At 34.8% G+C, this 13,609-nt stretch overlaps 1 long non-coding RNA gene across 6 annotated transcripts in view, besides 2 other annotated features; it reads left to right on the top strand.

The window, feature by feature from the left end:
• The window catches only part of MEF2C-AS1 (MEF2C antisense RNA 1), a 584,252-nt gene that overhangs the window by 427,071 nt on the left and 143,572 nt on the right, over positions 1-13,609 (top strand). The window lies entirely within an intron of this gene.
• Positions 3,139-3,228: an enhancer, noted in NCBI's record as "active region_22771". NCBI's record gives its function as "activates an Ori minimal core promoter by ATAC-STARR-seq in GM12878 lymphoblastoid cells {active_cell/tissue: GM12878}" and the evidence as "EXISTENCE:reporter gene assay evidence [ECO:0000049][PMID:35858748]".
• Positions 3,299-3,748: an enhancer, noted in NCBI's record as "active region_22772". NCBI's record gives its function as "activates an Ori minimal core promoter by ATAC-STARR-seq in GM12878 lymphoblastoid cells {active_cell/tissue: GM12878}" and the evidence as "EXISTENCE:reporter gene assay evidence [ECO:0000049][PMID:35858748]".

The raw sequence follows: 13,609 nt of genomic DNA on the forward strand, positions 1-13,609 counted from the left end.
CATGTGATATATATATATTCCATGTGATATACATATATGATGGAATATATATATTCCATGTGATATACATATATGATGGAATATATATATTCCATGTGATATACATATATGATGGAATATATATATTCCATGTGATATACATATATGATGGAATATATATATTCCATGTGATATACATATATGATGGAATATATATATTCCATGTGATATACATATATGATGGAATATATATATTCCATGTGATATACATATATGATGGAATATATATATTCCATGTGATATACATATATGATGGAATATATATATTCCATGTGATATACATATATGATGGAATATATATATTCCATGTGATATACATATATGATGGAATATATATATTCCATGTGATATACATATATGATGGAATATATATATTCCATGTGATATACATATATGATGGAATATATATATTCCATGTGATATACATATATGATGGAATGTATATATATTCCATGTGATATATATATGATGGAATATATATATTCCATGTGATATATATATGATGGAATATATATATTCCATGTGATATATATATATGATGGAATATATATATTCCATGTGATATATATATGATGGAATATATATATTCCATGTGAGATATATATATGATGGAATATATATATTCCATGTGATATATATATATGATGGAATATATATATTCCATGTGATATATATATATGATGGAATATATATATTCCATGTGATATATATATATGATGGAATATATATATTCCATGTGATATATATATATGATGGAATATATATATTCCATGTGATATATATATATGATGTAATATATATATTCCATGTGATATATATATATGATGGAATATATGTATATTCCATGTGATATATATATATGATGGAATATATGTATTTTCCATGTGATATATATATATATATGATGGAATATATATATATTCCATGTGATATATATATATGATGGAATATATATATATTCCATGTGATATATATATGATGGAATATATATATTCCATGTGATATATATATATGATGGAATATATATATTCCATGTGATATATATATATATGATGGAATATATATATTCCATGTGATATATATATGATGGAATATATATATTTCATGTGATATATATATATTATGGAATATATATATTCCATGTGATACATATATACACACATATATATGTATATACGTATATATGTATATACGTATATATGTATATATATGTATATCACAATTTCTTTATCCACGCATTGATTGATGAGCATTTGGGTTGGTTCCACGATTTTGCAATTGCGAATTGTGCTGCTATAAACATGCATGTGCAAGTATCTTTTTTTGAATAACGATGTATGTATTCTCTTTTTTGAACCTCCTTTTCAAGTCTGTTGCTATCCATTTATTACCCAGAGCCCTTCTCAGATGCATTCTCTCCATGAAGTATTTCAGTGTCTCAGAATAGATGTGATTGCTCCTTTTTTGAACTTTTCAAATATATATTTGACATTATAAACTGTTAATTATCACATACTTCTTTTATGACAGTATACAAGTTACTCTTGTACTTCTTACTATATTTTTCTAACTAGGCAGTAAATTTCTTAAGGTATGGAAGTATGCCTTATTCACCTTTGCAGTGCTTGAAATAGAACCATGGATATAGTAGTTGATCTGTATAGCTACAGATTACATTACTGCATATCTAGATAAATATGTATATATATACATATTGAATTAAGTAGATAAAAGAATTGCAGTCATATCAAAAAGAAAATGGACCATGTTTTCCTTTATGGCAGAGATGGTGACAATTCTTCACTTGACTTTTTCTATTAAAAACAGCCCACAACCAGTAAACGGCAGGTTCTTTTAACCAAAAAGTTATAAAGCTTGAACACACAATTCAACAGCCAAAGTGGATAATTAACTCACTCCTGCAGTGACATGTTTTAAATGGTGTGCTTTTCTATCTGTTATATCTACCCAAAGACAATATTCAGGATTTTTCCACCTACGACTTTGTCTCTTAATAAATTGTATAGGAAACTTTTGTATGCTCCTCTCTAAAATAGCATACCAACTTCAAAATTTCCTTAGATGGCATGCTGATTACTTAAGAACATCATTTACAAATTATTTGCCAAGTTATTTTTATAAACTGGAGTTTCTGCTGGGGGAAATTACTTTAAATGTTTGGCTGACTTGGGCCTCCAACAAATAGTGCTTGTCTATAAATATTAAACAATCATATGAATATGGAGCTGAAAATCTGAATTATACCTATGCCATGGGATTTATTATCCTCCTCTAAAGATGTCTGGGGTATGGAGGCTAAAAGATCTATTGCAAAGCCTGTATTATTCATTGAGAAAAATCCACTGAGGACCGTGACTTGAAAGTTTTGCAACTTTTGAGTACTTTTACATGAAAGCAGATTTCTTATCAAAAAAGAAGAAAATGCTGAAATATTAGTGCTGCCTTTAAAGATATCTTTTATTAGGATGGATTTTGAATCTAATATATAAAATCTGAAATATCAATTTGGGGGATTTGTAATGTTAGTCTTTGTTTGTTTTTGTTGAATGGTTTAAGAACAAAAGATTAACCTGAAAAAAGCCACATTGAAGGGGATGGATTTTGTTCAGCATAGCTTGGGCTGTAGAAAGGCTTGTGGGCATTTCTCACTCTCACTTGGCATTGTCTCAGAGGCCTGATCACAAGTGGTCAGGGATTCATAAGTGGATGGATTGTCTCTTCGTTTTGTCATCAATGGCCTGTGACCTTGGCAACCATTCATCCAGTAGTGTTTCTGTTGGTGTTTAATGATCATGGAATGTGAGAACACGATGGTTAAGAGCATGGTCTAGGAGCTGGGCTGCCTGGTTTGAATCACTGCTCTGCCACCTAAGAGCTCTGTAATTTGGAGCAAGTTATTTAACCTCTCTGAATCAGTTTCCTCACCTGTAAAACTGGTATAAGAGTAAGTAATACCTTCCTCTTTAGGTTTTGAGGAATGAACCATTCAATATTTTAAAGAACTTAGAATATTGCCTGGCATAGATTTAACAGCATCAGGTGTGCTAGTTATTACTTGCTCTGTAACCTCAGCAATCAACACAATAAACAAAATAACTGGCATATGGTGAACACTCAATACATTCTGAATGAGCAGCTAATGACGTTTTGATTCATCTAGAAACAAGCAAAAGAAATCAACTGTAGTGGGTTAAATAATTTTCAGCTTACTACACACCTGAATCTAGTTCATTTTGTCTGATTCTATGGTCTTAGTGAACTTAGAATTGCTCTAACCTTAGACTCTTCTTATAAATCTTCTCTTATTGTGCTAAACCAAACGCTCTTGAACTCTAGAATTCAGTTTGCTCTTCAGAGAGACTGAATATAATGCACTTCAGAATGCCTGTGTAACTGAACACATAGTGACCACCTGGGCTCCTATCCTTTTCTCAAGAATGGGGGTAGAGGCTGCTCAGGCTTCATTCTGAGGCTCTGTTGTTACTGCCACTATAATTAGAACCAGGGGGACTTCCAGTTATGACTCATCCTAACCCTAGCTCACTGGATATGGTCAGAACCCATTAGGCTGAAGAACATAGCAAGTCAAATCCTTACTTGACTCACCCCTTTTGGCTCCTACTGAAGGTAGTGCATTATCTTCTCTAGTGTCTAATCTCACCATTGGTCTTTTCTTCCTCTTTCCACCCACAAAGTGCAACGTGAGCTGTATGGCAGTCTGACTAGCTACTGTTTTTCTTCAAGGGCTGATGTTCTTAGCTGAGGTGGGTTGTCTAAGTAACAGAGCCCCATCCCCTATGCACATTACTGAGTAATAGTTTCTGGGAGACTGTGGAAACTATGCAGTATTGGCATAATAGATCAAGACTTTCATCAACATAAAAGGAAAGGAATTACAAGGTACTTGCTGACAGGGAATTGTAGCTTGATAGGGCACTCAGGGGGCAGATACACTAAAAGCATTTTGGCACAGTGAAGTGTATTTCCTGGACAGATGTGTTCCATTTGTGAGGGAAGGGCCTCGCACTTCTCACCAGTTCTAACATGCCAGCTACAAGTAAGATGAAGCCTTGTGTGTCAGCTACCGTTATCACAGGAAGTTCAATGTTGTCACCCCCTTAAGGTGACATTACTTCAAGAAAACCAGACCAGAATTGTCTTCAGAGAAGAAGGCAGTGATTCCATTTTTGTTTAGTGTTTTCTTCTCTCAGATTGGCAGTCGGGTCACGTTAAAAGTGGCAATGTTTTGTTTGGTGTGTAAGCTTATAAAACCCTGGCCATTTCAGCACACAGCTTCTTTTTTGCCTTTTACAATTTTTTCTTATAAACTCCAAGTATATTAGTATTATTGACATTCAGAAGGGCTAGCTTACGAAAGTGTTGCTCAGAAAAAATGGGGATATTGTCTCAAAGAGAAGAAAGAACGCTTAATAAAATAAATCTTAACATTTCAATGGAATCATAATATATATATATATTTTCTATTGTTGTGCATGAGAAAATCTGGGAGGTAGAAGTTATTTTCCTCTAATTTTCACACTGCCTATAATTTTTCAGTTTTTCCTGATGCCCAATATTTTCTTTAGAGCTGAATAAGTAGATTCAGAGATTCTCTTAACCCAGAGAGCCCCTTTTCAACATCAAGTCTAATAAGGAGGCCCCAGACATAACTATAGTGTCCCAGACTGCCCTTTTATACTAGACGAAAGGTAAAACGAGCCGATCAAGTAACAAATTACAAATTGATGCAGGCAGTGAGAACAGAAGCCTGGTTTTCTGCCCTGTAATGTCTGCATAAAAGTGGAGAATATGGTTAAAAACATTGGCGACAGCCAGTTACCGGAATAGCTAGCACTTCCAGGAACAAATGCATTCCTAATGAATTTGTGGACACTGCATTTACCGCAACAACAGCAGGTTTTCTCACACATGCACTCCACAGCACCCGCCTGCGCAGGGTTTATTGACCTTCAGCAAACACTGATGGGAGAGCGGGCTGCCAGAGAGTGAGAGGCAGAGAGCCATCCAAAACATCTTGGAAAGGCCTCTGAGAGAAATTTTTAGTGTTTAGAAGACATACTCTTCTTCCTTCTGCCAAAAGTCATTTTTCTGTTAAAGGATTCAGAGAGTGAAAAAATATTATATGGTTTTCTAATGACATAGTCACACAATCCCTTCCAAGCCCACAATACCTGCCGAGATTTTGTCTCATTCTAAGGCTGCTCTTGTTTCTTGATTGTAGTATAAACATATCTTCTGACTGACTGAGAAGGGCTTTTCTTCTTTCACTGCTCATTTACATGGTTTTGTAATCTTCATGTGTATTAAACAGTAAGTGTGGCATGAAGAAGTATGTTTCCATAGGACATAACCTTACATAAACACTAAATAATCTGGACCTTGGAACTAATTGGCCAGAGAACAGTTCCCGCCCCCGCCCCCACAATCTGGCTAAAACTAGATGAACCAAAGTCATCAAAGTATGTTTTACTTATTTCGAAGTCACTGGCTGACTCACCTTTGGATACTGATGGTAAGAAGTCAATATGGGCCGTGCACAGTGGCTCACACCTGGTGGGATTGCTTGAATCCAGGAGTTCACGACCAGCCTGGGCAACATAATGATACCTCATCTGTACAAAAAAAAAAAAAAAAAAAAAAAAAAAAAAGCTGGGCATGGTGGTGCATGATTGTAGTCCCAGCTATAGCTACTTGGGAAGCTGAGAGGGGAGGATCCTTTCAGCTCTGGAGGTGATCACGAATGGTGATCAATGCAAGTGAAAGAATATGAAACAGTCAAATGTGAGACTTCTTGATAACTGATCAAATAATAAGAGAAAGATACCTCACAGGAAAATTGTATACATGATGTTTTTAGATCCTTTGCATTTCAGAGTATAAGAGATACCTAAGAAGTATATGATTCTTTGAAAGATCTCTCTTTTTTGGATAGTCTTTAAAAAAATTATTATTAAACTTTAAGTTCTCAGATACATGTGCAGAACGTGTGGGTTTGTTACATAGGTATATGCGTGCCATGGTGGTTTGCTGCACCCATCAACCTGTCATCTACATTAGGTATTTCTCCTAATGCTATCCCTCTTCCAGCTCCCCACTCCCCAACAAGACCCAGTGTGTGAAGTTCCCATCCCTGTGTCCATGTGTTCTCAGTGTTCAACTTCCACTTATGAGTGAGAACATGCAGTGTTTGGTTTTCTGTTCTTGTGTCAGTTTGCTGAGAATGATGGTTTCCTGCTTCATCCATGTCCCTGTGAAGGACATGAACTCATCCTTTTTATGGCTGTATAGTATTCCATGGTGTATATGTGCCACCCCAAAGGGAGCAATAACCTAAAATGAGAAGGATTATTAAGACAAAATCTTCTGGAAAGGGGTGGTTTAGTGTTAATGAAATATATTAAAAAGGAGAGATCTTTGCTATTGTGAACAGTAAAGCCCTCTCCTTTTTAGTATATTTCATTAACACTAAAGCACCTCTTTCCAGAAGATTTTGTCTTAATAATCCTTCTCATTTAAGTTGTTACTCCCATTGGGAGGCCTTTGTTTTGTACCATATAAGTAGTGCTTTGTCATTTATTTATACTTTGTCATTAAAATACTTTGTTATTTATTTATACTTGTTTAAGTTTCTCACGTTTCTTTACATTACTTTATTAGCAAAATTATTAAGTAGCCAAATTTTGTTCTGAGAGGTTTCTTTTTTTAATCATATTTGCTTGACTGATAAGATTATTTGGTTTCAGATTACATATGGCCTTGAATGATAATACAAAGTGTTTGGACTTTATCTATAATTTACCAGGAGGAATTTTTATGAAATACTTCTACTTGGGCTCCACATCCAAAGTTTCAATTCTACTAACCTGGAGTGAGGTCTGAGCATTGGTATTTCAAAAATATCTCTTTAGATGTATTAGTCAGAGTCCCAACAAGTGACTGAAATGAAGCGACTTTCATTAAGGGATTAAATGCAAAAGTGTGAGCAAGGTTAATGCAACAAACCTAATATTAAAGAGAAAGTAGACAGAAGATTAGTAACATCTGAAATCCATTAGGCTTCCTGACCTAGAGTCAGAGTGGGACAAAACTGCTGCCAGAGATGTGATTCCCAAACAGGAAAAAAATTCGGGAGAAAATACCCCGACTTCCCTTCTCCCACCCGCCTGTCTTTTGTACATGCCTTCCATGGGACAAATCTGAGGAGAAGCCAGTGAGCAAGGGAGCACAATGGCATACTGTGTAGAAGTTATCCTCCAGGGGCATAGAACAGCACAGAGAAGGAGTAAACATTTATGGGATAGGATAAATGGAAAATTACGTATAGCAGATGACTCTTTGTTTCTTTTTTTTTTTTTTTTTTTTTTTTTTTTTTTTTAGAGGTGGAATCTCGCTCTGTCGCCCAGGCTGGCGTGCAGAGGCGCGATCTTGGCTCACTGCAAGCTCTGCCTTGCCGATTCACGCCATTCTCCTGCCTCAGCATCCCGAGTAGCTGGGACTACAGGCGCGCCCGCCACCATGCCCGGTTAATTTTTTGTATTTTTAGTAGAGACGCGGTTTCACCGTGTTAGCTAAGATGGTCTTGATCTCCTGACCTCGTGATCCGCCCGCCTTGGCCTCCCAAAGTGCTGGGTTTACAGGCCATGAGCCACCGTGCCCGGCCAGGTGACTCTTAATGTACAGCTAAGTTGCAGAGCTACTGCTATAAATAGTGGCAAGACCAGGAAGCTTTTAGGATCTTTTTATCTGAAACCAGTATGTTAGAGTGGACTTTGCAATTGTCTAGTCCAACACTTGCATTTTTGTACTTGAAACTGAGGCCAAAGACTGATGCTACATATCCAATGTCACAAAGTTAGGAAAACTCAAATTCAAGGCTAGAATGTCTCCAAGTTATCAAATGCACAAAATGGTATGATGAAAATTATAGTTAAGGAAAATTAATTTGGTATCAATGTCTTTAAAATGAAAGATATTGGAGGCAAAGACAGAAGTTAGAAAAGTATTGGTAACTTTAGTATTGATGGCTTTAGGATCCTAACCTAAAGCAATAAAAATTGGAATGGAAAGGAGGAAACATTCTATAGAGCATGCAAATTAAAATTTATGGGCTTTTGTAAATTACTGTGTAATAAGGTGAATGAAAATGACTCTGGAGTCAAAGATGACTTGGGTAATTCTTGCTCAGAAAAAGTAGAAAATAGGTGGTAATAGCAGTAGAATAAGAACAGGAGTAGAAGCTTTTTCATAGGGAAGAAGAGTTTGATTTTAGGTGGGCCAATTTAACATAATATATGGGTAGAATAGACCATTGTCAGGTGTTGATATGGGAACTGAAATATGTATTTTAACCAGTAAGAGACTGTTAAAATATGTGGCAGTAAATACGTCTCCAGTCTCAAGGTAATTGTATTATTGAAATACCTGCAGGTGACTCTTAATGTACAGCAAAGTTTTAGAACCACTGCTATAAATAGAGGTAGGACCAGGAAGCTTGTAGTATCACATATCCATATTATATTATAAAACTCATTTACCAAGCAGGGAAGGTTTTAGAGCCATGTCAAAATATTTACTCATTAAGAGAAAAATGTGGGATGTTCCTAATATTTTTAATCCCTGGTTTATGGGACTGAATGATTTGCATGATACATTCCATATTCTAAGAATATTTTATTCTTGAAATTGATATCTATAAGTCAGTAGGCTTCCAAAAAATCCAAATAAGACTAAATTTGCCTATTTCAGATTATACAATAAAAACACATATTTTTCTTTTCTGTCTTTTGTTGTCTACCAACAAAGGATAATTCAGTATTAAAATATTAATAATTTGAAACAAGAGATATAAATAATGTTATAGTTAATTTGGGCTAAGTTCCTGCCATCTAGATAAAAAGGTTTCTAAGTAAAGATAGTTACTGTAAACATTCTTAGATTCTTGGGAAAAAAGTGCTAGTATGGATGAAATATTAATAGTTTTCATCATGCAGTCTTTGGGTAAATTAATTTATTCTGCAGTCTTCTTAGCAAAATAGATTTACTTGTTTCTCATCCCTGATACTTTATTCAAATCAAGTGAAATTAAGTCATTTCTCAGTAAGAGGCAGTCATTTTAGGCCAATAAAAACACCTACTACTAACCTAACTTCTTTTTATAATGGCTCTATCTAACTATAACTCCTCCCCTACAATTTCATGTGGTGAACGTTTCATAAAGATATTTGTTCTCAAAAACAAGTAATATTTTTAGAAGTTGTTTACTAAATATAGTAGTCCTTTACATTTCTATCCTTATTCTACCACCTCACTTATACTGCAAAAAAATGTGAAAAATGAAATTCTAAAATTCTAACTTCAGTAAAATTCTGAATTTTAAGAAATTTACCCAACAGAAAATTAATTTTGAAAAAGCCATTTCAGTATGGAATGATGAAAATACTGGTAGGGAAATTAAAGGCATTAATTTCAAACAGATCTGATTAAGTCGTGCAAGAATATTTTCTTTGGGCCTTTTAGCATATTTATTTGCAAATTGATAGGTATGTCTTTAAGTAAGTTTATTTAAAAAAAATCCATTGCTTCTTTCTTTAAGAAAATAGTCATATTCTTTATGAGATTAAAAAAATCTAAGTAAAACTTGTGATAAATGATCTAGATGTCTTAACTCATTTTACTTTGTAAATAGTACACTGTCCATGTGTTACTTAATTGTATTCAACTACAGTTTTTTGTTGTCGTTACAGTTAAAGTCAACATTAATCTCTCAAGGCATATACTTCTATTCAAGTTTGGCAGAAATGCTGAACATATCAAGGTTTAAATTGTTAGGAGTTTAGTTCAACCTCTGCTGGGTCCCTAGGCTCTTATTGTAAAACTACTGTTGGCATTTGCAACCCATATAACATCTTGGAATCATGGGAATCAACTCTGAAATGCCAAGAATTGAAGATCAACTTTATTTTTGGAGGGAATTCTATTACGAGTTTTTTGGTAGCTCTGCAAGCTGTGTGAACGGAGGGAAAAATAACCTAAATTACACTAATTCACATTCCACTGTTAACCACATTACTTTGAGACTTTACTCTCAGTTTCACACCTTGTCCTGTTCCCAGATGAAGTTGACTTCTCAAGAAATGCACAAATTTTTCTGGTCTGCCCACTCCTTAAGGGGTAGATCATAAATTAAATCAGGCAGTGTGATATTTCTATTGCCCACTTCTAAAGGTTTCCACAGACTCTTGGAATAAAACACTTTAAGGCACAGTGTTTATTCTTGCTTCATGATATTTATATGTGCATGATGCTATAAATATGAGTTCAAATGCATTTTTAAATGAGCTGATGAGTAATGCCACCCAAACATTTACATTTTAGTTTTTAGAAGTAAGATGTCATAGTCTAAGGTGTAAAATCCAAATCTAGTTGGTTTGAGGCAAGAAGTGCAAATGAGTGAGAATTTCTTTTTTCCAGAATGGAAATTCCAAATGACCAAGCCACTTACCAGCTGTGTCCCTGTATGCAGGTTTCCTTACAATGTGAGAAAGGCATATTGATTCAGTGTTTTTTTTATAAATACATACGTAGTGGTTCATCAATCATATGAGGTTGGGTGGTTACCTTATGGTAACTCTATAAGTCATTATCAGTGTAGTAAGGAGTCATAAGCTCCAGTTAGAATATTGTTTTCATAGTCTATCTTCCATATACTCATTCCTACTTGTTAAACTTGAAAGTTAGTAAGAATTTGAGGGAAGGGGAAGGGGAAAGGGAACAAGAACCATTCATGTGGATCATCATTATTTTTTTAGTCCAGGACTAATTTTGCTATGGTTTATCTGTCTGTTCCCTTGTTCCTCTGCCCCTTCACTCTGACCAGTTCTTTTGTAAAACATTTTCCTTTTACATGTATTTCAGAGATGTATTATTGTCTTTTGTTGACCGATGGGAAAAGGAAGAGGAAAAGAGGTGACCGAGTCTAATAATTCTTAAGGACAAGACCTGAAAGTTATCTTTATTTCCATTTATATCCCATTTGAAATGACTTAGTCGTAAGATTCAGATAGCTGAAAGCAATGCTAGGTAACAGGGAATATAGCTGGATGACCATGCAGGGAGTTTATGTACAAAAGGAAATAGCAGGGAATAGATAATGTGGGAAATTAGCAAGCTCTATTACAATAAGCATATCCTAACAAACTAAGCTAATATTCTACATAAAAAATATAATTTCACAGTATAACATACACAGTAGGAAACTGTTGGAGACAATAATTTAATACAAAAATTAGGTGACGTTCTATTGAGAAAATATTGCCTATTTGTATTTGCACCAAGCAGAATAATTTTTCTTGATACATAGCCTTAGAGAACTAATATGTGTGTAAAATAGTGAATATTTATAAAGTATGTCAGAGATACATGTCCAATTCATATGAAACATGTCCTAGATTTTAGGTTTTCTGAATAAAGAAGAAAAAGTTTAGTCAGTTAACTCTATATTTGTTTTTTTGGAATTTCCCCAAAAAGACACAACATATTTTCATATTTTAATGTTCTATTATACCAATTATTATGCTTTAATAAATCTTATTAGTGTGATGGGTCCATAAAACCTAATTGGTCACTGATGGAGCTTTCTCACAGTAAAAACTCTTTATTGTACTTAAGAATGACAGGTAAATTAAAGGTCCTTAATGGAAGAACAAGGGAAGTCTTGGTTATAGTATATATTTAGCTGGAATGGAGTACAGTAGTTCATGGCACGTCATCCTTCCGGTTGTTCATTAATGAGGGCAAGAGGAATGTGATATTAAAGGAACAAATCGATGAAGGAGTAGCTTTAAAGGCAAAAATAGTATGATTTCAAGAATGCAAAGCAATAGCACTCACTTCCAGTCTCCCAGTAGAGAAATCTGGTTACAATATTTCTTTTTGCTCAGTTTTCCCTCAATCTCTAGTTCATTATTGAGTCTTATTGCCTAGCCTCCATAAATACCTTGATCTATCCCCTGCTCTTTTCCCAATGTTGCTAGTCTATGTTAAATCTAGTTTATTGCAACAAGCCCCCTAACTACTTTTCTTGCTGTTCATCACACGCTTTTGTACTATACTGCCCACGCCTGTCATAGTGCATTACCCAAAGTACACGTCTGTGAATGTTTTCCCCCTAGAATCCTTTGATAGCTCTCCATGATTTTAAGGATAGAATAGTGTCCTTAGCTCAGCATACATGGCCCTTCATAATCTGGCTTTTGCTATCAATATAGTTTCACCTGTTGTAGTTTCTACATATGTTCTCTCTAAAAATAAAATTATTTCTAATTCCCTGGATATATCCTATAGTTTCATACTTCTAGGCCTTAAAGAACATCATCTCCACTTTGTCTACTTGGCTTTCTTCAATTTCATCTTCAGGATTGAGCTCAGATTTCACTGAAAGAAAAACAAGCAATACAACCTTCTCTAGATGATTTTCTACTTCTGGCCTGGCGTGGTGGCTCATGCCTGTAATCCCAGCACTCGGGAGGCCAAGGCTGATGGATCACGTGAAGTCAAGAGTTCAAGACCAGCCTGGCCAACATGGGGAAACCGCATCTCTACTAAAAATACAAAAAATAGCTCAGCATGGTGGTGGGTGCCTGTAATCCCAGATACTTGGGAGGTTGAGGCAGGGGAATCGCTTGAACCTGGGAGGAGGAGGTTGCAGTGAGCCAAGTTGTGCCACTGCACTCCAGCCTGAGTGACAGAGAAAGACTGTCTCAGAAAAATAAAATAAAAGTAGAATTTTCTACTTCTAACATCAGGGTTAAGGGCTCCTGTCCTGGGCACTGATTATATCTCAGTCATGTCTCTGTCAGACTACCTGTTGCACTATATTGCATCTCACTATGTTGTATTATATGCTACAGATCAGTCTGGTCTGTGTGTTCCTTGAGACCATAGACTATGTCTTTTATCTCCACCTTCCTTACACCTAGCCCTTTTATAAAAGCCAATAGCTACTCTTTGAGAGCTTGCTTAAGAGAATTAGTTGATAAAGTAATGATAGAAATGTATGGTGATATTTATAAGCCTTGTGAGCATTTTTCTTAGATGTAGACAAATCTGTGAAACATTTTCTTCATTAATTAGTGGTATTGAAAAGGTATACTAGAGAGTTTCAGGTCCCAGGCACTCTAGACAAACTGTGTATTCACTTTACAAGCCAGTCATCATATTTGCCAACTTCAATAATTCCCTATTTTATCTGAAACAAACAAACAAAAAAGAAAGAAAAAGATTCTGTTATTACTCTGTATTTAAATGAAAGATGTTGAATGAGATTGAAACAAAAATGATTCCCTCAATACAAATTCTTAGAAGGCATGGCAATTGCATTTTGGATTATGTAGCAGACCATCAGTGAATCAATAAAATATCAATGATCAAAAATTAAAAATCAATTTTTAAAAAGTAATTTATTTTTAATGGACAAATTATAATTGTATATATTTGTGGGGTACAATGTAATGTCATAATCTATGTATAC

Source organism: Homo sapiens, chromosome 5 (assembly GCF_000001405.40).
Source record: "Homo sapiens chromosome 5, GRCh38.p14 Primary Assembly".
Taxonomy (NCBI): Eukaryota; Metazoa; Chordata; class Mammalia; order Primates; family Hominidae; genus Homo; species Homo sapiens.